General features: G+C 36.9%; 1 protein-coding gene across 2 annotated transcripts in view; it reads left to right on the top strand.

The window, feature by feature from the left end:
• Nucleotides 1-27,475, top strand: part of FBN2 (fibrillin 2) — a 280,337-nt gene that overhangs the window by 122,928 nt on the left and 129,934 nt on the right. The window contains exons 8-11 of one of the 2 annotated variants that reach the window (NM_001999.4): nt 6,519-6,644; nt 20,044-20,196; nt 21,950-22,183; nt 23,163-23,300. In NM_001999.4, coding sequence (NP_001990.2) covers nt 6,519-6,644; nt 20,044-20,196; nt 21,950-22,183; nt 23,163-23,300 — 651 coding nt within the window. The remainder of the gene's footprint in view (nt 1-6,518; nt 6,645-20,043; nt 20,197-21,949; nt 22,184-23,162; nt 23,301-27,475) is intronic. The other variant, XM_017009228.3, reaches the window with a different exon arrangement.

Raw genomic sequence — 27,475 nt, 5'->3', positions numbered from 1 at the left:
CAGTTAGACAGAAGGAATAAGTTCCAGTGTTTCATAACAAGAGTAGGGTGACTATAGTTAACAACAAGGTATTTTATATTTCAAAATAACTAGAAGAGAGGACTTGAAATATTTTTACCACATAGAAATGATAGTCAAGATGTGAGGGATACCCTAAATGCCCTGACTTGATCATTACACATTCTGTGCGTGTAACTAAATGCCATGTGTCCCATAAAAATGTATAAATGTTATATTTTAATGAAAAACTTTTTTAAAAAGTTTACATGGAAATTCATAGGCAAATCATATAACATGTGGGACATATGTAAAGAATTTTTATAACTCATTCGTTAAAAACATAAGTAACTTAATTAAAAACTGGGCAAAGGAATTGAACAGATATTTCTCCAAAGACAATACGCAAACGGCAAATAAGGACATGAAAATATGCTCATCATTATTAATCATCAGGCAAATGCAAACCAAGTTATAATGTGATACCACTTCACACCTACAAGCAAAAAAAAAAGTAGATAATGAGTGAAGGTGAGGATGTGGTGTGTATGAAGGACTCCCTCATATATTGCTAGTGGGGATGTAAATTATTACAGCTGCTTTGGAAAACAGTTTGTCAGTTCCTCAACAAGTTAAACATAGAATTACTGTATGACTCAGCAATTCCACTTCTAGGTGTATATCTAAGATAAATGAAAACATATGTCTACACAAAATGAATACCTGAATGTTCATGGCAACTTTATTTATAATAGCCAAAAAATAAAAAATGGAAATAACCCAAGTATTCATTGACTGATAAATGAATAAACTGTGGTATATCCATACAATAGAATATTATTTAGCAATTAAAAGGAATGAAGTGCTGATACATGCCCCAACATGAATGAACCTTGAAAACATAAACTAAGTGAAAGAAGCCAGACACAAAGGACCACATATTTTATGATTCTATTTATATGAAATGTCCAGAATAAACAAATATATAGAGACAGAAATGAGATCAGTGGTTGCGTAGGGCTTGGAGAGGAATAGGAGGAATGATTGCTAATAGGCTGGAATTTCCTTGGGGGGGGATGAAAATGTTCTGAAATCAGGTTGTAGTTATGGCTGCACAACCTTGTGACTACACTAAAATCATTTGAGTTTTACACTTTAAATGTGTGAATTGTATGACATGTGAATCATGTCTCAGTAAAGCTGTTTATAAATTGAAATTCTGAGTACAGTTGATACACACCATGCTTTTGAAATCTGAAAAGAGGAAAGCAGACATCAATTTTCCATTGCAATTTGTAATATTGATATTGCCTGTTGTCTTTAGAAAAGCTGGAAATAGGCAGCAAATTATTGCACTTAACACTTCAATCATGAATTTTCCTAGTGTCAAACAGTATACGAATAAGTGGAAGTTCAGTGTATGCAAAAATATGCTTACTTTTTTCTATATCAAAAAGATATTATACAGAATATTCCAAATATGTATAGTTCTTGGCATCAGTGGAAACAAAATGTTCTAAGAACATGTTTTTAAAACAAAATTTCTTGTTTTATTTGTACTAAGCTTCTGTAACATAATTGTTACATGGATGGCTTTTTTTCTGTGACATGTACCTATAAGAATGGACAGTCTCTCTAGGGTGTTCTTAGAATTCATTGATATCTGAGATCATGTTATCACTACTTATCAAATTATTCATTATATTCCGTTTAGTGTAAGATTTACAGGAAATGTTGGTTGACAAATATGAGGTTATGTGGTTTGGCAGTCAGAAATCTGTCAGATGGTTTTGTTTAGATTGGATTTCCTTTTTTAAAAAACCTGTGTTCAGAGTCTTCACATTACTGAAGACTTCCCAGTCTTTCTCTTTTTTTGCCCTTTGAAGTCACACTTGACAATCCCCCTGTTTTCACAGTGTTCTTCCTTAGCCTCCGTTTTTCACATTCTTCCTCCTTCCTCCATGATCCTTCCTTCCCAGACTCCTATTCTGCTTTTCTTCCTCTGACTTTTTCTTAGATGTTGATAGTTCTCATGGTTTCCTCCTTCAATTCCAGTCTTTTCATTTGTCTTCTTTGGAAATCTCATATGTTGCCATAACTTCAAAGGCAATCCTTATACTTGGTGATAAACCACAAATGTCCATCTTTATAATTTACCTCTTTGCTAAGTTTCATACCCAAATTTTTAGCTCTGTAGATTAGAATTTTTACTGGTTTCTCTCAAACATCCCAGGATCAAAATGTCCAAAGCTCAACTTAACTGTAAAACATGTTCTTCCATTCGTGTTCCATTCTTTGTTAATAGCACTATGTCATCATCCTTGTCAATCAAAATAGTAGTGTAAGATATCTTTCTGGTGACAAAGTCCTTCCTGTTGATTTTTCCTTCAAATTATATCCTGAATATATGTTCCCTTCCTCATCATAAAGCCTTACTTCAAGTTCTCAACATTTATCCCTGGACTATTATATCATCTGTCCACATTAAACACAAGGACTATCTTTCTAAAATATTGATAGGCTTATGTAATTCTTTTGTTTAAACTCCTTCATAGACACTATTCATCACCTTCAGAATAAAAGCCACAGTCCTTGGCTTGGCTTTTCAGGATTTAGCATATGCCTAACTAGCTAAGCTTATTGTCCATCAGTTTCCCAGCTGTTCTAGTACACTGTGCATTCTTCAACTGTGGTGTATTTTCAGACCCAGTTGCCCATGCTGTTTTTTGTTGTTGTTGTTGTTGTTGTTTATTAGTTGGAAGCTAACTTCACTCGACTGGCCACAAAAATTCATTCAGGACTCCAGGCCTATGCCAATCAGAACATTTTCCTGGCCAGAGGCATCATTCAGAAATTAGCATGTGACCCAATTCTAGAAATTAGGACAAAAGGGATGATTTGCTGGGGGCTTCTGGAAAAAGTTTTCTTCCTCTCAGGAGAGAGCACTGGAAAAGACACTCTCTTCCACTAGGTGTCCCAGTCAAAGGAATAGCCTAAAGCTGCTGTATCCATTTTGCTCCCATCAGGGAAGGCAGCTCAAGTCAAAATACAGAGGAAGGCCTAGTTGAACATATCTCACAGAAACTGAACAAGACACATTGGTTGAAACCACTTCTAGACTTCAGATATGACAGCTATTAAATTTTTGATTTATATCAGTTTAAATCAGTTTTTCTGATATTTGCAGACCAAAGCTGCAAACTGATATAGTTTCAAAAAAGATCAAGGAGAGATGGGTGGCAGTATATTCAGTGTGCAGAACATGGATGAAACCAATTCCCATTGTTAAGACTCTGCTTTTTCCCATGAGCAGACTTGTCACCTTTAGGCACACTTGTTTATACATAGATAATATATGCTTTATATTTGTGGATATAATACTTCCAAATCTGATTATGACATACAGTATTGAAGAACTAATATTCAAAAGAGCTAAATGCATGTATCCTTCTGAACATAAATGCTAATGCTAAATTTAAATTGATGGATAAACATTGTGATACAGACAGGAGGCAGGGAAATACTAGGTCGAAGACGGGGTGGGGGTCCCTGGCGAGGGCTCCACCCTCAAGCCTGGACCTGCGACCCTAAATGAGATCATGAATTCCTGCTTTCCTGCCCGAATGTTGCCTTTTCCAAAACCACCCTGGCCCACCATATCCCCTACCCTGTACCTATAAAAACCCCAAGCTCCACTGGCAAAGGAGCAGAGCACCATGGCAAGGAAGGAGAGAAGAAGCATCTGAATGTCGAGAGGAGAAGAGGCAGCTGGACATCAGAGACTACGGTTGGAGAGGAGTTCAGCTGGGGACGGTCAGAGAGGAGTTCCGCTAGGGATGACCAAACTCCAGGGGAAGATAATCTTCCCACTCCGTCCGCTTTCCACCTCCCCATCCCACTGAAAGCCACTTCCATCGCTCAATAAAATCCTCTGCATACACCATCCTTCAATTCATTCACGTGACCTGATTCTCCCTGGACACCAGACAAGAATTTGAAAACACTGGGCATGAGCTTTTTAACATTTAAGCCATCTGCAAATGGCAAAGCTAAAAAAGCATTGTTTGTAACACACACCTTCTGGGGCTCCACAGGTCACCGGCAACACCTAGACACTGCCGTGGGCTGGTACAGGGTTTGTTCCTGCCGGCATCCGGAAACACTCATCCTGGCTCCTGCACCTGCTCACCTGTGTGCTCCCCTCCAGCAAAGGGTTTGAGCATGGCAGCCAAGTAAACAAGCCACCCCTGTCTCAAGTCCTGTGAGGGGCTCGAGGGAACTCTCCCATCTCAATTGGGCAACACTGTATTAAAATGCAGGGGTTTTGGTCAGTATTTTGGGGTTTTGTTGTTGTTGTTTTAAAAAAGCACCTTATTTTTAAATTTTTAAAATATGGTAGATGTCTAGCCCAAAAATGAATTAAAAGCATTTCTATTTTTTATACAAAACCTGAGAGCCTTTTATGTATAATTATTTTGAAGCTAACCTTTTAGGGTTCCTACTCAACTGTAAGGAGAATTGTGAAACACATAGGTTTTTTTTGCACAATAAAATTGTTAACAGAAAAACCACAAATTTAATGTCACTCCACATGTCCTTCTATGTCCCAGATTTATTTTATCCAAAAAAAGAAAATGTCAAACATCTTTTAATTTTCTGTTCTTTTTATTGTCAGGAAGAGTTTTAAGACTAGGGCATAGGGAAGTTGTTTATTATGAAACGAAATGCCTAGAAATAAAAGCCAATGTTTAAATGAAAAAGTTGAGTCTCTTAATGTTTAATATTTTGCATAAATCCTGGGCTTCATAAGCACCTTGATAATTCATATAATTTTAGATGTTAAGAGAGTGAGAAGGCAAGTTTTAGTTCTTCACTTTTTTAATGCTTGCTTTACCTTGTATCCTTCTTTTCTTTCTTTTCTTTTTCTCTTCCTTATCCAGAGGTGATAAGTTTCTGTGGTAATTAAAGTACAGCTGTTTAGTTTCATCTCTCTTTTGAATCCATGCTCAGTTGTATTAAGATGCACTGCACTAAGATAGCAACACAGGATGCAACAGGACCTAATTTTGCACACGTGGTTTTATTTTGTTGGATTAAGTCTGATGGCAGCTCTTTGACCACATTTTGTATTTACTCCTCATGTAGTCAATTCATGTTAGAATTCTGATCTCTCTTGGGAAATTGGTAGATTTTTGATTTGTACCTCTGTGCCTTCAGTGGCTAAGTGTTAAGCCTCAAATGAAGATATTATTTCATAGAATGTCTGAATCTGGTAACTTTTTTTATAAGAACATGCCAAGAAGACACACAGCGTATAGTTATTTCATGATAAAGCTTGTAGGCAAGAGTGACTTGCCAGAATAAATGGAAAAAAATAATGAATAGACCAATAAAAGGATGTAAGAAAGGCATTGGCAACCTTTTTCTTTTTAAGCGTGGGGTTAAACATATTTTGTGTGTTTATAATAGGAATATAATTATTTTTCCTTTTTTATTGGACATTTTAAAAGAATAAATGCAACTGAAAAGAGAAAAACTAAAAGTCAGCTTATTTTGACTTTTCAGTAATTATCTGTATGTATGGCTTTTATTGTTGTTTCTTCTAGTTACTGGCTTTTGCTACCTCTGTTCATTAAAAAAGACAGCCACCTCCCAGGAATTTGGGTGGATTTTTCTCACAATGACTCATTTCCTTTTTAAATGTATTAGCAATTAGCTCCCAGTTATCCCTAATTGCAGCTTTGTTAGACTTCCCACCTCTCTCTGCTTACTGAACTAGAAGAGAAGTACATTAAAAGTTTATATAAATGACTGGGTTTTCTGCTTTAAGGAAAATTTTAAAGAAAGCAGACTTTTCATTAATGGGAAAGGAAATAGACTATTTCCAGCATTGAGTATGCTGAATGGATAAATGTAGGGAGGTACAATAGGAAAACTGGACACTTCCCAAAGCCTCCCAAGTTTTTGCCCTTTACCATGTTTCTGTATTATTTTAGATTGAAGTTGTTCCCAGAATGTCAAATACTCCCATATTCAAATGTAAGTACAAAAACATATCCTGAAGCCAAGTTTAAAAAAAAGTTATTTGCCACTCTTCATTGCTTCAAATAGTGTGAAAATTAGTTATACATTTTCAAATACAGTTATTCTATATTTTAAAATGTAATCCATGTATGTGTTTTTTTAAAGGCTCTAGTAGGATAATTCCCTAGTTGATGTAGAATGGAAACTAAAACATTGACATCTTTACTTATTTCCAATTTAAATTGCATTTTTAAAAAAGGGTATAGAGTTCTGCTTTAGTTGGCCTTGTTTTAACTGCCATGGGAGTTTACTTTCATCTCAGTTCCCATAGATATGTGTGAGAAATTCTTTGGGGCCTGAAACAAGAGTATCTTCAGGGTTATATGATCTGACCTAATCAACCATGAATGCTCTCATACTCTTAAAAAAAAAATCTCTTTTAAAAGCTATTTAATGAAGGCCTTTCTCAATCATCTTCTCCTTCTTCCCTTGATTAGACATTGATGAGTGCAGCATCATTCCTGGGATATGTGAAACTGGTGAATGTTCCAACACCGTGGGAAGCTATTTTTGTGTTTGTCCACGTGGATATGTAACCTCAACAGATGGCTCTCGATGCATCGGTAAGCCTCGCATTTTGAAGGCTCAATACACTGGGTCTTTATAATGACAAAACAGCCCAAACAGGTATGAAGATGGCAACGATTATAAAATATTGAAGAAATGGCTGAATGAGTTGTTTAATGTAAACGGTACCAGTATTGAGGGATTGATAGACCAGGTACTCTTTGCAAAGACTTCAGTTTCAGAATCCAACTGGGTTTGTTTTATGTTGTCAAAGTCATTTTGGGAATAAAGAAAGACACAAAGGCACGAGAAAAATTTTTTAAAATCTGCTTTGGGAGACAGAATGTAGTAATTAAAGCTTCTTTTGTGCTATGAATCATGAATGTTATTAACATCTTATTTACTTAGAACTTGTTTATTCTATTGAAAATAGTTACTATACAAAAAAGACACCTTTAATTTTGTGTTTAAATATATTCAAATTAAAACCATTGTATGCTCTCCCTTGTTTATTTAGAAAGATGCAATAGTGCTACAGTCATGGTGAAGGTAATCTGTTATTGAGCAAGGCTTAGACATCTGTCTTATTGCGAGCATAGAGATTATGAAGTGTCTTTTGATGCATAATCACAGCACAGTGAGCTACCCTCACATTTCCCTTCCTGAGCTTTTAACCTAGTCTATTCCAATTTTAAGCTGACAATAGGTAAAAAGAGAGGAAAAAAGAGGCACTGTTATCTTTACTGGCACTAAAGATTCATGTAGTGCAGGAATTAGGAAAATTAATCCAATACTTAAAGAATGGTGTTGTTTGGTCCACTAGAGGGTGGCCGTTTGGGCAGTGTCTCTCTCTCCCCAAACCAGGCAGTTAGTATGTCAGCAACCAACTGCCAGGATCTCTGTAGGTCTTGATGATTCCCTGATGATTCTCATGTGCCCAAGAGAACTGAGTTGATGAGATGGAAATACAGAGTCAAGGATGTAAGCTAGAAGTCGTAGGCCACCAATAAAAGGACTGTGGCCTGAATTCATTTGATTAAATGTACTGATATATCAGGTCATCCAGCAGTGAACATAAGAGATACAAATCCTGCCTTCAGAATGCCATATTGTCATCATAAATAACAGTAGAAGCCTACTAATAGCAGTAATAGAAGAAACAGTAGTAGTAGTAAAAATAATAGCTGTCATTTAAGATATTACACATACCGTGTGTAAGGCACTGGGCTTCTCCACTACCTCATTATCTCATAGCTGTGAGGAGTCAGGCAAGCTACCATCTTCTCTACACTTCAGTTTCTTCTAATAAGTGTCCAATAAAATATTCTTCATTATTATTCTTATTAAGAGGAGGAGGAGGATATGCCTGCTCTGGACCTATATAAATATGTCATATGGTCCTTCTAATAGCCCTGTGTGATAAGTATAGTTATTCCAAATTTACAAATAAAAGAAATATGGTTTAGAGAGGTTAAGTGACTTGCCCAGTGTTTTGCAGCCAATGAATGGAGCCAGGATTCAAATCCTGACCTCTCTGACTCCAGCCTCTTGTGCTACTGTGACACTGAACTACCATTTACCCACTTTAAGGCTGTGGAGATCCTGTGGCTAGATGTCAGGGCCTCCAGCATGACTGATTTCTTCACTGTCATGCTAACAGCCTGCTTTGAGAAGTAAGATGTCTGTTGGGAGCCTCATGTCGTGTCTTTGAATGAGAATTGTTTGTGTTTTACAGATGAATCAGAGTTTCTATCTTGCATTAGGTAAATCATTTTTCGTGAAATATTAAGTCTGTATAACTGAGCAGATAAACTATTTTAGGGTTACTGTTGCCAGTTGGCTCACTGTGTAGTAAGTTTGATTCATTTAATACTCTAATTCCCCCTTATCCACGGTTTCACTTTCCATGGTTTTGTTTTCTGCAGTTCCCACTGTGATTCAAAAATATTAGATGGAACATTCCAGAAATAAACAATTCATAAATTTTAAATTGTACATCATTCTGAGTAGCACAGTGAACTTTCACACCAGCCCGTCCAGGGTATGACTCCTCTTTTTCCCAGCATATCCATGCTGTATAGGCTCCGCACCCACTAGTCACTTAGTAGCCATCTCAGTTATCAGACCAACTGACAGTATCGCAGTGCTTATGTGCAAGTGACCTTATTATACTTCATCATGGCCCCTGAACCCAAGAGTATTGATGCTAGCAATTCAGATATATATAAAATGAGAAGCCATAAAGTACTTCTTTTAAGTGAACAGGTGGAAGTTCTCTACTTAGCAAGGAAAGGAAAGAAATCGTATGCTGAGGTTGCTAAGATCTATGGTAAGAACAAGTCTATCCATGAAATTGTGAATGAAGAAAAAGAATTTCATGTTAGTTTTGTTATTGCACCTCACACTGCAAAAGTTACAGCCACAATGTGTGATAAGTGTAGTTAAGATGGAAAAGGAATTAAATTTGTGGGTGGAAGATATGAACAGAAACGTGTTCAAATTGAAAGCAGTTGGATTCAGCTCCATTCAAGGTTTCAGGCATCCACTGGAGATCTTAAAACGTATCCCCCGCAGATAAGGGAGAACTACTTTATAATTTGGCTGTCAGCTTTCTATGAGAGTTGAAAATTAGTGCAACTACCTACATCTGGCTTGATTTTCTTGAACTCTATAGGAAAATAATATGTTTATGCACACGTGCATATGCGAACACAAAATAATCAGCTTGGAATAGGTATAGATTCAACTCTTTAGGAGAAACGTCGCCGTGGGAGTCGTCATTGAACACTGTTGTCTGGGTGCTGTAGAACCTGGCTTCCGGAAACTTGTCTCCTAGAATATTGCTAGAAGAAATATGCCTGGAGAAGGAAGTGAGGTTATTATTGTGAAGTTCTGGAAATACCAAATACAGCACATGTATTTTATTTGGTAATCAATGTGGAGTAATTGAAGGCTTTTGAGAACAAATTGTAATGCAGGGTTGGGGGCTTGAGAATAGAGAGAAATGAAACTAGTTATGAGGTAGAATTGCCAAAACAAGTTTCAGCGTTTTATTCCCCATTTCTAAATTACTTCTTTTTATTTACTCACTTACATTTCAAAATCTTTCTCTAGTCAAACAAAACTTGCATTCATATTTTTGTTCTGCATTGGAAAAGAAGCATGAATCCTCATTTTATTCAGATAAGACCAACGTACCTAATGATTTACTAAGGTGGGTTTTCTTAGAGGAGAGTTTTGATTTACCAAAAAATTATGATAAACTCTTTTTATCTCTTGCCTCCTTATGTTATAAAGTCCTAAGTCTCTACCTGAACATTCAAAGCCTTACCTAACCTGTATTCCTGAGTCATCTCTAACCACTTGCCACCTCACACTTGTATTTCCCTCATTGTTGTACAAGACCACACTGCCATGCCTTTGCCAGCAGTACCCCCTCTGCCCGAAGCATCTTGTTTTTCCCCTTCTATGCTCATTAAAATCCAGCTCACCCTTTAAGTCCCAAAATAGGTATCACTTTTCCTTTTTTGTTTTTTAAAGATGGAGTCTAGCTGTGTCACCCAGGCTGGAATGCAGTGTCACCCAGGTTGGAATGCAGTGGCACCATCTCAGCTTGCTGCAACCTCTGCCTCCTTGGTTCAAGCAATTGTCCCACCTCAGCCTCCTGAGTAACTGGGATTACAGGCACCCACCACTACGCTGGCTAATGTTTGTATTTTTAGTAGAGACAGGGTTTTCCTGTGTGGGCCAGGCTGGTCTCGAACTCCTGACCTCAGGTAATCCACCCGCCTTGACCTCCCAAAGTGCTGGAATTAAAGGCATGAGCCATGACCTCTGGCCAGTATCGCTTTTCTTTGTAGCCGTTTCACCTAAACTACATTTTCTTCTTGGGCAAAATTAATCAGCCCCACCATTTTGAAATGAAATGAAATATGTTTTCATTTGCTTCATTTTAGGGTTTACTGCATTGTCACAGGTACTTCTGCGTTACTCACTGGCTAGACTGTGGGCTTTGTTAGGCCCTGTCTTATGCAGCTTCATGGACCCTGGGCTTTATGTAATAGGCATCTTGCATAGAAGTTTGTGCTGAGTAAATCTTTTCTGAATGAACAGGAAAACCAGCAAATGAATGAATGAGATGATATTGAATGTAAGAACTTCATGTTGATTATAGCGGCCTTGCAGCCTTTGGCATCTCTTTGGACATGATGTCGTGCCACTGAATTACGGTCCTGGATGCTCATAAAGCAAGAGCTAACTTGAGGTTCGGAAAGCTAAGTCCTGCACTAACCAGGAGTCCCATTCATTTCACTATCAACATCCTGAACACTAGGAACAAAGGAAGGTCTCTAGGGAAGGGAGAATGGCTCTCCAGAATTACAAAACCAGTGTTATAATTAAGTAAGCAGCTTAAAAATGTTTTGAATAACTATGTTACATTTGGAATAAGTATGTGTTTTCCATACATGAGAAAAAATTAATCTAACATATTAATGTGTACGAGATCTTTGATTTCTAAAATTCTGAGTCTGTATTTTCTCAGATTGAATTTATTTGGTTGAATTATATATGTTGGAGATATTTGCACGCTATTTATTTTCTAACCACATGTATGCTAATAAAGAGTTGGATGAACTTAAAGCTCTTTTTAATACTAAACTGCGTGTTATCTGCAGCTTTATTCTGAGAGCTCACATGTGCTGAAAGTGACATTTGCTGAATTTTGTCTTAATTTCTTATTCTAGTTAACACAGATATTCTGAGTGTATACCACATGACAAAGCATCAGTAAACTTGATCCTATTTCTTTTGTGTGCTGGAAAACAGTTTCACATGGTAGGAGAGTTTAACCAGGCAATTTAATTATAAGACACGATAATTTTCCGCTTTCATTGTATACTAAATATAAAAGTCAAATTTCTGATTTGTTTATCTATCTAGTGTGTTTAATCATCTTTTTATATATCCAGGAAAGAACTGTTTTTTAGCATAGAGCACTAACATGTGCCAGTTCCAAAAAAAAAAGGAGTTAAAACGTACCTAATAATATTTCTCTAAAAAGCGTTTTAAATAGCACTACTTAATAAGCCTTAAGTCATTTTGGAAGTAACTGTCATGGTCATGTCCAAGGAATGATTAATACCTAATTTGCACATTGTTATATAGGCACAGAAGAATGGCTGGCAGCCAGCAATAAATAACGCGTTGGCAAAGAGCAGTGAGCAACTTCTGTGTGCAGGATAATGTGTCTGCTGCTATTGTGTACACAGGGTGAGAAAGGACCCTAAGCACAGGGACCCAAAAGGGCCAGTTAAGTTCAGAAAATGGGATTAAGCATTTAGAAATTCTTCCAGTAATATGATGGTGCCACAGCATGCTAAGGCATTTCCTCAAGCTTTCCAAACGTGTTAGTGCACAATACTGCTGTGGAGTATTCTTGAAAAAACAAAACCTGAAAACATAATGTGAAAAAATATAATACCAATATAAAAGAAAGTTTGAGGCAGAAGTGATGACCAGTATATGGGTTTTTTTTTTCCTTTTTCAAGAAAAGGGCAAGGTACAGAATTATTTATGTATTACACAGCACTCTATGTAACGCTGGCTGTTGATTCCACATGCATGTGTGCATTTGAAACAAAACACTTGGAGAACCCAAAATTATTTAACTAAAGAGGGAACCAGAAATGAAAGAGTATGAGGATATCAGTTTTAATTAAGAAAGGAAGAAGTGTGTTAGAAGGAGAAGTTTTCCTTACAGTGAGGAAGAAGCCCGTCATTCACTATTTTAAAGGAAGAAATAAACCTGGGATCCACAGTGGTTCCTTTTCATTGCTCCTAGTTCTATAGTTACTCTTAAACAATGTAAACATGAAAGTATTTTAGGAATAGTAAGAATCCGCAAAATCAATCAAGGGGAGCCCAGGCTGGAACCAGACCATCAAAGAGGTGAGTGCAGGCATCCAGTCTCAGGAGACAAGCATGAGACAATGGCTGCTATTTACCGAACACCTACTGTCTATCACTATTGTTCTGACCTGGGCTAATCTCATTGGTGTTTTCTGGCTGAACCCTTCATTTCTTAATGAGCAAACCTAATTCCACAGGAGACATTTATTTCAACATACAATCCCCAATTTTTGCCAAGTTTTCATCACATTGTATAATTAACCATTAGTTCTCTTAAATCAAGTTTACACAAAATGTCAAGCTATGAAACAAACTCTGATAAGTGTACCTTTATTACGTTTCAAAATAGATTTATATTTTAATCAGAGGAGATGAATTACTTCCTGTTTCTCGGTGTGACTGTAAATATGACTCCTTGTAAGCCTTGTTCAGGAAATGTAGTAAGGGCGATAGAAAATGATTAGAGGAATAGACTTGTTTTCATTACTTAGGACACATTGGTTCTACAGTTAAACATATAGCAAGCATTAGAGGGATTTTGTTTTTACAGGCTTTCATCTGGCTTTGCCCCTAATGATTCCCTGTTTCAAGGAATAGTGTGCCTGGACAACTCTTGTTTCTAACAGGTGCCTCTTTTTTATTTCAAATATTTTTCCACATGATACATTTTTTAATACAGTGCTTTCTAAGGGCCATGAAATTTCATACAAAGGAAAGAGAGGTAATTCCCAGCCTCTGATTTGCTTTGAAATATGCCTTTTTGGAGACCTTAACTGTGAGATGCTACACCAGTGTATGTCTCATCCTGGTAGGTTTTGGCTCAAGAAATGAGAAGTAGGTTGCCTGCCTCCTTTTTGTTACTAGAAAAAGCTAATTGTAGAATTTATGAAAAAAGTTACAATTTACTTTGCAGTCCTCTGTTGCTGCCTCTCTACCCTCTCACCTATGACTTAGTTTCCTTCAGTACATGTATTACAGGACTGACCAGAGGTTTCCAAACTGTGTAGAACAATGGTTATTATTAGTATTATTTTTTCTTTGAGACGGAATCTTGCTTTGTCACCAGGCTGGAGTGCAGTGGCGTGATATCGGCTCACTGCAAGCTCCACCTCCCGGGTTCAAGTGATTACCCTGCCTCAGCCTTCCAAGTAGCTGGGACTACAGCAACGTGCCACCACGCTGGGCTAATTTTTTGTATTTTAGTAGAGATGGGGTTTCACCATGTTGGCCAGGATGGTCTCTATCTCCTGACCTTGTGATCCACCCACCTCGGCCTCCCAAAGTGCTGGGATTACAGGTGTGAGCCACTGTGCCCAGCCAGCTATTAATTTTTTTAATTTAAAGACCTCTCTTTAACATAAAAAATGTACTTCAGATCCTCACATTATGATAATTTAATATTCGTGAGAGCATACATAATGAAAATGTTCTTGGATATTTAGTAATAATGATAAATGAATTTGGATTTTATTAGCTATAGTGGCATATTCATAAATGTGAATCATGGTAGTGCCAATAAACTGTTAAGTGTTACATTGCAGTGTTCAATGAAAATATGCATTTGTGAACCCCTCTCAATATCATTGCATACTCCCAAAGTCTGGGGATTGGTATAGAATGGATTCCTGATAAGTACTTGCAACATTTTGATTGACATTTATATTAGTCTGTTTTCTCACTGCTGAGAAAGACATACCAGAGACTTGGAAGAAAAAGAGGTTTAATTGGACTTACAGTTCCACATGGCTGGGAAGGCCTCAGAATCAGGGCAGGAGGTGAAAGGCACTTCTTACATGGCAGCAGCAGGAGAAAATGAGGAAGAAGCAAAAGCAGAAACCACCGATAAACCCATCAGATCTTGTGAGACTTAGTCACTACCATGAGAATAGCATGGGAAAGACCGGCCCCCATTATTCAGTTACCTCCCTCTGGGTCCCTCCCACCACATGTGGGAATTCTGGGAGATACAATTCAAGTTGAGATTTGGGTGGGGACACAACCAAACCATATCAGCATTTTTATACATATTACCTTATGTATAAAATGTGTTACTGTATTTGGTCCATGAATTGTTTAGAAGTATAGGATGTTTTCTTGTTTATTTTGTTATTGATTTCCAACTTCATTTCATACATTGTGGTCCAAGAATATTACCAGTTGATACCAATTCTTGGAAATATTCTGGTACAGTATTTGCTTCATGGTTTAACAAATGATTTATTTTTATAAATCTTCCCTATGGACTTGAAAAAGATGGGTGTTCTCCAATTGATGGGTGCCAGATTGTAGATATATCCATTAGATCAAACAACTGTACTATTCAAATTTTCTTTGTACCTACAGAATTTTGTCTACTATATCTATTACTGAAAAAGTCATGTAAATATTCCACTGTGGAGGTAGATTTCTCAGTTTCTCCATGTAGTCTAGTAATTTTTTATTTTATATAGTTTGATCTTATGCTATAAGTGATAAATGTTTAAAAGTATCTGCCATATTTTCCTGGTGAATTGAACCGTTTTAAAATTATGTATTGACTCTATTTTTTTTTCTTTATTTGTGGTCTATTTCTAAATATTTTCTTTTGGTTTATTTTGTATCACAAAATATCTTAGTATACTCTGGTTTGTTTTGTATCACAAAATAAACCAAAAAATAAAGCTTCTGGTAGCAGAAGCTTTAAGTATATACCTACTATGTATTTTCCCTCTCAATCTTTCCTCTTCCTTATGTTTTAAATGCATTTCTTTTAAACAGCCTATATCTATTTTTTGTTTTATTTTTACAGTCTGTAAATCTTTGTCTCTTCAGTTGAGATTTAAATCCATGTGTATTTATTATATTACTGATATATTTGTTTTTATTTTTACCATAGTCCTTGTGCTTCCTACTTATCTTACTTTTTTTGTATTTTTTTCTCCTTTCTTGGTTTCTTTTAGATTTGTTCAGGATCCCCCCGACCTGCTGCCGTGAACTCGATTCTCTTTCTCCTATTTGTTAAGAAGTTATGTACTTTATTTCTGTTGCTTCAGTGGCTATCCTAGCTGTTTTAAGATGCATATTTAAAATTACCTGTATGTTTGCCTATATATAAATAATAAAAGAATATTTAAGTGGTTAAACTTTGATCTTCCCCTCACAACTTTTTAAAATCTAGTATATTGCCATTCCTATGTGTGACAACTTAATCATTATTGTTTAATATGTTAGTACTTATTTAGATTTACCCACTTATTTAATATTTTTTGCTCATCATTTCTTCCTGCATCTCAAACCTTCCATTGGGATCTTTTTCTTTTGCCTGAAGTGCCTCTTTCAACATTTTGTTTATCAAAAAAACTCTTGGTAGAAAACTCTGGTTTTGTTTTCTTGAAAATTACCTTAATTTGCCCTCTGCAAACATGATTTATCACAGTACAGAATTTTAAGTTGACAGTTATTTTATCAGAGTATACTAAGATATTATTTCATTGTGTTCTGGCATCCATTGGTGCTGCCAAAAAGTCAGCAATTTATTTTTTTAAAATACCGTTTCTCAGCAGGTGATCTGTCTTGTTTTTCCACCTATTTTTAAGATCTTTACCTTTGTAGTTCTGCAGTTTCACAGTGGTATGGCTAATTGTGTATCTCTGTTTATTTTTCCTACTTTGAATGTATTGGACTTCTTATATCTGAGGTCTTACAACATTGCTAGAAAGTTCTAAGTTAGTATCCATTAAATACTGCTTCTTTCCCATTCTGCTTATTACTCTTCCTAGTACTCTTATTACATGTTGTATTAGTCTGTTTTCATGCTGCTGATAAAGACATACCCGAGACTGGGCAATTTACAGAAGACAGAGATTTATTGGACTTACAGTTCCATATGGCTGGGGAGGCCTCACATTCATGGTGCAAGGTGAAAGGCACGACTCACGTGGTGGCAGACCAGAGAAGAGCTTGTGCAGGGAAACTCCTGTTTTTAAAACTATCAGATCTCTTGAGACTTATTCACTATCACAAGAACAGCACAGGAAAGTCCTGCCCCCGTGATTCAGTTACCTCCCACCAGGTCCCTCCCACAACATGTGGGAATTCACGATGAGATTTGGGTGGGGACACAGCCAAACCATATCAGATGTACACAGGTGTACATCTAATTAGCTTTTCATTCTCACCTTCATATTTCTTAACCTCTTTTTAACGTTTCAGTGTCTTTGTCTCTATGTGCTAATTGAAGATAATATATTCATATATATCTGCCAACTCAGTAATTTTCTTTATCCATGTGCAATACACTTGTGTAATGTATTTGTCAGATACTTTATTTCATTTCATTTATAGAAGTTTGATCTCTTTTAAGTCTGTTCCTATTCATTGTTTATGGGCCTTTTCCCCTTGTTCATGTCTTCAGACTTGAATTGCTTTAAATATATTAAATATAATTTAGTTATTAATTAATATTTAATTATTAATAATTTAAAATAATAATTGTCAGAATTGATCTGACCATTTCAATATCAAAAATATACTGGTTACTTAACTAGTTTTTGTTCCTTAGTGTGTTATTAATGTATTTTCCTGTTAGCAGCTCTTTTTTCTAGGAACTTTATGAGAATTTTTTGAGACTTTCATTAATATTAGGTCCTCTAATTGTGTTGGCTCTTGTGAGTTGCTTGGAGTGTCTCTAACCTGAGAACCTCTTTACGTTATATTCTTCCTTTGAAGTTCTTCAGACCAAAAACCTACTATGAATTGAGGCATCAAAGCTATTGATGTGAGGAAGACCTTGTGGTTACAGATTCTTAAGAGAGATCTTTTTTTTTTCCTCCACAGAGCATCAAGGTAGAGACAGGCAAGTTTCTTAGTTGCCTCCATTACCTTATCCATATACTATATCCATAAACTAAGCATATGGCTCTTTGGAACCCTACCTTACGAGGGAGTTTTCTGTTATGTATTGGGGGAGAGTGGAATCTGGGCTTTTTATGTCTTATGCCCCGGGCACTGTGAAACTATCAGAGTTGAAATTCACAGTCTCCGGAGTTTAATAGTAGCCTAAAGGTGAAATTAGTTGTTCAAATACCTCCTAAGATTCTCATTTCACCTCATTTAGGGACTCTGTTTTATCCTTCATTTCATGCGAGCTGGATGATGTGTTTTTAAATATTTTTTCACATTTTATCCAGGATATTTTAATTGAGAGGAACATTCAGGGTAGCTAATTCACCATGAAAGCTGCAAGAAATAGAGCATATGTTGTTTTATTTCATTCTCCCACCAACCATGTTCTGTACAGAAGAAGAGTTAAATACGGTTGAAAATCGAACAATTAATAATATTTGAATGTAAAACTAGGTCTCTTGACTCAAGGCTATGGTTTTGTTTTTTGTTGTTTCGTTTTCAAATTCTATATTACAACCTCCTTCTTGTAGAAGCCTTGAAGAGATAAATATATTCATCCTAACTTGTAGCACTGATTGTGTTTTATAACGTTAGTGATTATTGTTAAGAGTTTGGAACTTTCTTATTTTAATTTACATCCTGGCCTTGAGGAGGTAGTATATGATACTTCGGGTTCATAAAATGAATATTCCAAAAATTGTTTCCTGTGATTATTCTTAGGAATAGAAACTTAGTTGTGAAATTATTCCTAATGACAGCCTGTCCAAATCCAACTCAAGTTTTTGAAATTTCTGCAGTGCCTTTAATTATGTGTGCATACATCACATTTAGTGCTCGGTTTTGGGTCTTACTGGGATTTTGGGGAGAAATAGAAGGAGTTGTTCGATTCTTATACAGAGTATCTTAAAGGTAATTCATTTATTTTATGATAGCTTAAAAGCAATCTGAGGCATGCTATATATGGGCCATTAGAGGACATAATGTGCTTACTTTAAACTCTGTATCCAGTGCTAAAAATTTTAACTTTACCTGTTAATGGAATTATAAGCAATTAACAGTTTCATCTTCATTATTGATATGCAGATCCTGATTGCTGTGGTACATCTTTCTTCTTGTGATCATAGACAAAACAACTTTGAAAGCATCTTGATAGGGTTGAATAATATGTTGTTAATGAAGCTCACAGTTTTTTCCATTGGTTACTATAAAGGCAGTTTCAGTTATAACCCATAAAGTTTACAGATGATATTGATAATTTATCCCTATGCAACTTTGCATTTTATGCAGTCTTTTGCAATCATCATAACCTGTCTTCTAGCCTTTATCTGATCATTTTGATCCATTGTGTATTCTGCTATCAGATTGACCTCTATTACAGTCATATTTGATCATGTCACTTCCTTACATCAAATCCTACTGGATAATGCACAGACTCTTTACCATAGCACTCCTGCCAAACTGTGCTTACCTCTGAGTGGTCACCTTATTTTGCCTCTCAATATCTAGTTTGGCACAGTCAGTTTTCCCTAGTTCTTGAAACTGTCTCATCTGGCTCTGGCTTAGAATGACATATATACACTGACAATTCACAGATATATATGTTCAGCCTGACTATGCTTCTGCATTCCAGGCTCATTTATTCAACATTCCAAATATAACATGTTTTAAAGAGGAGCCTTGTCTTGTGTTCTCTAATCCCGTTTCTTCCCTCGCCATCCCCATCTCAGCTGTGTAAGTCAAAAACTTAGGAAATGTCTAAGACTCTCTTTCTTCCATACCCCACACCCAAGCAAGTTCCCATTGGCTGTACCTTCAAAACATGTCTGCCCTCTGCTCAGCCTCATCATCTCCACTGCTGCCACCCTCATCAAAGCCACCATCATCTCTCACCTGAATGTCTTCAGTGTCCTCCTCACTGGTCTCTGTGCTCTGGCTACAGTCAGTTCTCATCGCAGCCAAAGAGATCTTCTTAAAAATGTAAACCATTGTCTTCTCTCATTGTAACCATCCAGGAAATCTCCAAACCCTCCACTCGAAATCCAAGTGAAATCCCAAGGTCCTTTCCTAATGGCCTATAGGACCATCCATGATAGCCTCTGCTGTCTCTCTGAGCTCATGCTCCTGCACTTTCCCTTCCACATGCTGTTCTCTAGTCATAGTGGCCCATCTTTCTTCACACACATGAAGCACATTCTCTTCTTCCTCAGAAGCTGCTCTTTCCTCAGATACTTCCATGGCTCATGCCCTCATTTTAGTCAGCTGCCTTCTCAAATGTCACTGTTTCAGGTTGCATCTGATCAACTTTTATAAAATCATCAGTCAGATGTTGCTGCATTACAGACAACCACAAAATCACAGTGACATACAACAGTGCGCATCTCCAGGCTGAGGATTGGGACTGGGTTGTTGCTTTCCTTCAAGCTTCAGAATTGCCTGACTTTAGCTTCTTACTGCAGTCTGTCCTCCTATCTGCTCCACGTCTTTCATTGTTCTGTCCCTGGCTCAATGAATGTCTGAGATATTAAGAGAGTGAAGAAAGGAATAGATAACAGAGATTAAGTGGTATGAGTCACTTCACCTACATTCATCTCATGTACAGTGATTGTTGTAAGAACCTGAGGTAATTCTGCCATATCTTCTGTCTTATTTATACATGCACAGATCAGAGAACAGGCATGTGTTTCTCGGGCCTGGTGAATGGCCGCTGTGCACAAGAGCTCCCGGGGAGAATGACGAAAATGCAGTGCTGCTGTGAGCCTGGCCGCTGCTGGGGCATCGGAACCATTCCTGAAGCCTGTCCTGTCAGAGGTTCTGGTACGTGGCTGGCTGTTAGTCTCCTCAGCACAGACACTGTTAGGAAAATTAGTAGCAGTACTGTATTTTGCTCTCTGGGAGACCAAGGCAGGTGGATTGCTTGAGTCCAGAAGTTCAAAACCAGCCTGGGCAACATGGCGAAATCCTGTCTCTACAAAAAATACAAAAATTAGCCGGGCATGGTGGTGCATGCCTGTAATCCCAGATACTTGTGGGACTGAGGTGGGAGAATCACATGAGCTTGGGCTGTCGAGGCTACAGCCATCCATGATCATGCCACTGCACTCCAGCCTGAGTGACAGAGCGAGACCCTGTCTCAAAAATATATGTATATATTTTGCTCCTGTCCTTGAAGTCAAGTCATATTTGTTTTCCTTTGTGTGTTTTCAGTATGACTTGAGTGTTTTTGTGGGGAGTGTGATAGCATTGTTATTTAGGATCAGTTTTGATAATATCTAATTTAGTAACATCAGACAAATACCTGAAAGCTGTTTGACTTGTTTTTGTGCAAGTGTTGTTTTTTAAATTATTTTGAATGTTAGTATTTCAATTCAGTTTTTAAACCTCCTGATCTTTCATCCAGAGCTCAAATATCTATGAGGAAGAAAACTCTGTCTTCATTTATACTTTATTTCAGGAATACCTTCAGCTTATAATGTCTCAGTCCTTGAAGATATTTCCTCTCTTCTCATGATCTTGAAAATTAATCATACAAGAGTATGATGATGGCTCTCATTAACTACGCTGTGGTAACTGCCATATAAATGATGCTATATTGGGAAATTAGGGTTAATGAGAAGTAGTTCCTCTTGTTACGTGTAATATGAGTAGTAAAGTACAAATTAATGTTTCTCACATAAAGATATATTAATATATTCAATTCTATTATCATTTTCTCATTGAATTAAAAGCGTGTAAAATAATTAAAGTTTTCAAATATACTTACAAATATTTATGCCAATATGTACTGTTAACAGAAAAGATATCATGACACATTAATCATTCTTACAAAATCTCTAAGTCATAAAATACCAAAATCTATTAGTAAGACAAAAAGGGGCAGAATTAATGCCTAGTAAATAATTTTGGATTCTCCCAGTTCCACTAGTAGTATATAATTAATAATTTTTTTTCCTTCTGATACAGTGCCTTAAGTCTGCAAACAGTTAAGGCAATAAGGCAATTGCTATCTTCTTGCTTCTCTTTACTCAACTTTGTCACCTGGACAAAAAGGAGCAGATTTTAAAGCTTACTTGATATTGTCTACCGTTAAAATCCAAGTTAGAAAAAAATATCATTCTGGAGCAATATTAATACCTAATCTCCTGAAAAAAAATGGACAGGAAAAATGTATAGGTATAATGCTGAAGAGAATGTAAGTAAAACCATACAGATAGAATGAATTAGCATAAAGCTTTAACTTTTATCTGTACAAGTAAATTTTCTGTATTTATAATTATGTCTGGAATTTTATGAGTTGCACTTAGGTGCATAAAATAAAAATACACATGTAAATGATTGTTTATGCAACTCAGTTAAAATAATGTGACAATATAGGTTTTAAATTTTTTCTAAAACTTCTATATCTTTTTCTTGCTACTGCCAGCATTAAAAACATGTATTGAGATAGTAACCTACTTAATCATATTGTGTAGTATAGGTAACCCAAAGTGACTTAGTACAGTGTACCAATGGCTTTTGTTATGCAGAAAGACATTCACCTGTGCTTAATGCCAACTTTCTTTTCTTCTAGAGGAATATCGCAGACTTTGCATGGATGGACTTCCAATGGGAGGAATTCCAGGGAGTGCTGGTTCCAGACCTGGAGGCACTGGGGGAAATGGCTTTGCCCCAAGTGGCAATGGCAATGGCTATGGCCCAGGAGGGACAGGCTTCATCCCCATCCCTGGAGGCAATGGCTTTTCTCCTGGCGTTGGGGGAGCCGGTGTGGGGGCCGGGGGACAGGGACCTATCATCACTGGACTAAGTAAGTGGTCAGTTTTCCTGTGGACTCTTTAGTTTCCTGCCTCAAGTGACATTATAATATCTAACATAATTTTAATTTTTCAAAAGGGTTGTATGAACACACTTGCACATGTGTGTGTGTGTTTGTGGGTGCGAGAGAGAGAGAGACAGAGGGAAAAGTGTTTCAAGGTCTGATACATAGTAATACTAAATTTGGGAAAATGTAATAGGAAAATATTACTTTTATGTTCTGTAAACTTTCTGTTAAATTAGAGAAAAGAATGTGTGACCCAGGTCTTCGCAAATACATATGAGAGCCCAGTAATACTCCAATCCAGTTGACACCACCAAAAAGCATGTTTTTGGTTTCAATGTATTTCATTTGGCTGTTTAAAGCTGCCCTGTTCATGCACCCCTTGAATTATTTTCCAGAACCATTTCTCCACTGAGATAAACTGAATATCTTGCTCTGTGCAGATCCAAATATTGTAACGTACATATCTTTCCTTTCCTCACCCTTTTTTGTTAAATTGCTTAAGAAATTGAAAACCGTGGGCTTCAGACCAGAGTTGGCATTTGTGTGCTTGACATTTAACTTCATTCTTTTTAAAAGCCCTCTCTTGCTAATAATATTTAAAGATGTCCTACAGTGTTATGTTTATTCTTTTTGGCATATTGCCGATTTACTATATCTGAATATTCAGCAGAGTTACAAAGGAGAAACGGAAAGCACTCAAACGTATGGTAGAACATTCCTGTAATTTTAAAAAGACATGATTAAGGGCAGCATTTTCAGATCTGTAACTTAACAGATACAAGTTGCAACCATGTGTCTCAGTAATATTTTTTAGATTCTCCACATTAAAGTTTTAATAAAATATAAAATATGAGCTTCTGATATACATCTAATTAATTTACTATTAAATGTCCTTTAAAAATCAATTCAGAAAAGTAATGCATGTTGTAATGATTAAATATAATTGTGCTTTAATTTTCCGTAGCAATTCTGAACCAGACAATAGATATCTGTAAGCATCATGCTAACCTTTGTTTAAATGGACGCTGTATACCAACTGTCTCAAGCTACCGATGTGAATGCAACATGGGTTATAAGCAGGATGCAAATGGAGATTGTATAGGTAAGTTTGTGATTCTTTAATAATCCTTCTTAGTTTTTTTAGTAGCTATTAGATTACAGGATCAAATTGGAATGAATATGATTTTTTTAAGTCTTTTGAAATACAGCTAATTTCCAAACTGTCTCTTCTGTGTGTATGCTATTCAGTGTGCCCCCTTAACCTATGCTGAGCTAGATCACTTTAAGAATTTCCTACCCTTTCAAGTCCTAAATATTGTGATTTCTGTCTCTGACTCTCCCTTTCCATTCTCCTTAGAAATGCTTACTCTTAATATAAACTAAAAATAAAAAGGAATCTATGTAACAATGAATATATTTTAAAAACAATTCGTCAAGCATGAATCCATCTTTAAAAGATGACAAGACACCAATGGACTAAAATCTGATATGTCAGGGCAGTAGTTTTCAAATATGTCGGTCTCAGACTCATTTCAACTCTTAAAATCATTGGTTATCTCTACTTTGATAATTACCTAATTAGAAATTAAAGATGAAAATATTAAGACATTTATTGATTTATTCAAAAATAACAACAATGAATCCATTGCATGTTGACATAAGTAACATTTTTATGAAAAACTACATTTTTGAAAACAATGTGTGGAAACAAGTGTCGTTGTTTTACATTTTTGCAAACCTTTTTAATGTCTGCCTTAATAGAAGCCAGCTGGATTCTCATAGCTGCTTCTCTATTTAAGGTTTGGTGATGTTTTGTTTTGTTTTGTTCTGTTTTGTTGAGGAATGAAAATCTATCCTCAAGCAGATACATAGATGGAAAAGAAGAGGAATATTGCATAGACTTTCAGATAATTGAGGTTATTCTTTGATATTCCACCAAAACTTACAAGGAGTAATTCTTAAAGTTTAGTTAACCATGTAGAATCTGAAACCATATTAGTACACTTTTTGTACTCTGTTACATAAAGTCCATTGGTTTGTCTAATGCTTTGAGTGGATTTTGTAACATGCATTGGTCATTTGAAATATATTGATGCACTGTATTATGCACATCTTTCCAAAGTTGAAATATTTTACTATGTACTATCAAAAAATCATATTTGAGAATATCACCATCAAACTCATAAAAATGCCTTCAAATTGCTGAGAAACAATCAAGCATACAGTGTTAAATAATCTTTCTGAATTCTGTCATTTTTAAGCTTGAATGTTAACATTAGCATCAAATATACAGTCTGTTCCTTTTCTTAAAGTGACAGGCTCACTGCATTATTTTCAAGAAAATGTCTGCCAGATTAATAACTCTGAATAACTATAATTTGTCAGTCATTCTTCAAGTAAAAATAGTATTCTGCAGAAAAAGCTGCTAATGGAGTGCACAACTCAAAACAACTACGCAGAAACTTTTCCTTGAGACAGGCACTCGTGGTGCTTCAGTCAGCAACAATGTGTAATGTACATTTTGTCACAGAAGTATTTTAAAAATGTATATTCAAGGGCCAAGATTATTATTAATTTTGTGGCTTCACCAATTATATTCTTAAGTGAAAATGTCTTTTTCAAATACCCTGTGAGTTCATTGTATTGACTGGTAGGACAGTTTGGTGCCATTGCCTTAACCTGTGCTAAGCAACTATCATTGCTCTTGTGCCATCAGAGAAAATGTTAACATGATTAAAAAAAAAAAGTAAATAGCATCTTAATATGATTGTGAAAATAGTTTTGAATCAAACTCACTCTGAAAGGATCTCAATGGTCTCCCAGAGGCCACACCTTGAGAACAGCTGCTATAAAGAGTCCCCAACTTTCTTGTAGGTCATATACAAAAAGTTTAACAGTGAGAGAGTTAGTAGTGGTAGACTTGAAAGTTTTCATTCCTTAAATGCCATTTAAATTGATTTGTGCTCAGTAACTGTGATCTGTATGCTAGCAACGTGGTGAAAGAAGAGACCATCAGGAATATCCAATCTAGCAGCAGGATCTGCAGTAGTTAGGGGTTACATTAGTGTCTGTGAAGGATAAGGGATTTCCGCATGGAGTTAAAAAAAAAACTCCATAGAGAAAGGCCAAGATGGCTCAGTAGACACAGCCAGGAAGAGCATTTCCTACTGAAAGATCAGACCATCAAGAAGACTGGCACACTCTGAGAGGATCTTCAGAAGGAAGGCATTAAGAATGTATGGAAGGAGCACACAGACCCTGGACTGAAGTAGGAGGAAGCTGGGAAGCCTTCATGGGGCTGCCAAGTGCCAGGACTTGTTCCTGACCCTGAGAAGTGAATTAAATAGTTGAGGAGTGGCCCACTCTTTGCAGGGGTCTCTGGAATCCTACCTGCAGAAGATCTTACAACCTCCATGGACATTTGAGACATGGGAGAGCTGCTTGGATAGGGGGCAGGGACAGGACTCCAGCCTGTGCAGAGCCCAGAGGGTTTGGCACCAGAGTGGCTACGATGCCCATACCCCAGGGCTTGACATCCTCCTTTAGGGGGCTTTGGCCTTGGTTGACTGTTGGACCTGGACAGAGCAGAGCAGTCTTGCCCATGGGACAAGGCCAGTCTGATCTGAGTGTCCCCCATCTGCCGGCCTCTGCCAGTGTCCCTGCATGGCTGTGTCCACTTGGAGCACAGCCTCAGATGCCCATCTGGGGCTCTTCCCAGGTGTCACCACCATAGCTCCTTTGCCAGCAAACCCTGCCTAACCATTGGAGAACTTCAGCAGATGGGCCTCTGCCAGCATTCTCCCACCTGCAGCCTCTCCCCACAACTTTGCTGGCATGCACTTGCCCACAGCCTTCCCCCATTGCTCTGCTGGCACACATGCACATAGGCCTCATCACCCCATCACCACTGGCATGTTCTTAAGAAGCAAACTGATCTGATAGAGCTGAAAAACTCACTACAAGAATTTCATAATACAATCAGAAATATTAACAGCAAAATAGTTCAAGGTGAGGAAAGAATCTCAGAGCTCAAAGACTGTTCTTTAAATCAACTCAGTCAGATGAAAATAAAAAATAATTAGAAAGATTGAACAAAACCCCTGAGAAATATGAGATTATGTGAAGAAACCAAACTTACAACTCATTGGCATCCCTGAAACAGAGGTAGAAAGAGCAAGCAACTTGGAAAACATATTTGAAGATATTGCCCACGAAAAATTATCCAACCTTGCTAGAGAAGGCAATATTCAAATTCAGGAAGTCTGGAGTACCCCTGTGAAATACTGTACAAGATGACAAACTTCAAGACATACAATCATCAGATTCTCCAAGGTTAACAAGAAATAAAAAAATTTTAAAGGCAACTAAAGAGAAGGAGCAGGTCACCTACAAAAGGAACCCCATCAGGATAACAGTGGACCTTTCAGCAGGAACCCTACAAGCCAGAAGAGTTTGGGTGCCTATATTCAGCATTCTTAAAGAAAAGAAATCCCAACCAAGAATTTTATATTCAGCCAAACAAGCTTCATACGTGAAGGGGAAATAAAATATTTTTCAGACAAGCAAATGCTGAAGGAATTTGCCACCAGACCTGCCTTACCAAGAGGTCCTTGAGGGAGTGTTAAACATAGAAATGAAAGACTGTTACCAGCCACCACAAAAACAAACTTAAGTACATAGACCATTGACACTGTAAAGCAACTACACAATTAAATCTGTATAACAACCTCCTAAATGCAATGGCAGGATCAAATCAGCACATACCAATATTATCCTTGAAAATGAACGGGCTAAATGCCCCACTGAAAAGGCACAGGGTGGCAAGATAGATAAAGAAATAAGATTCAACTATATGCTGTCTTCAAGAGACCCATCTCACATGCAGTGACATCCATAGACTCAAAGTAAATGGATAGATAAAAAGCTACCAAGCAAATGGAAAACAAAAACAGTGGGAGTTGCTATTCTAATTTAAGACAAAACAGACTTTAAACCAACAATGATCAAAAAAGACAAAGAAGGCCATTACATAATAATAAAGGTTCAGTGCAACAAAAGATTTCCCTATCCTAAACATACATGCACCCAACACTGGAGCATCCAGATTCATAAAACAAGTTTTTAGAGACCTACAAAGAGTTGTAGATAACAACACAATAATAGTGAGAGGCTTTAACACCCCACTGACAGTATTAGACAGATCATCAAGGCAGGAAACTAACAAAGATATTCAAGACTTAAATTCAACACTTGGCCAAATGGACTCAACAGATATCT

Source organism: Homo sapiens, chromosome 5 (genome assembly GCF_000001405.40).
Source record: "Homo sapiens chromosome 5, GRCh38.p14 Primary Assembly".
NCBI classification, from domain to species: domain Eukaryota; kingdom Metazoa; phylum Chordata; class Mammalia; order Primates; family Hominidae; genus Homo; species Homo sapiens.
The sequence above is the reverse complement of the archived record's forward strand: the minus strand, read 5'-3'. Positions and strand labels throughout refer to the sequence as shown.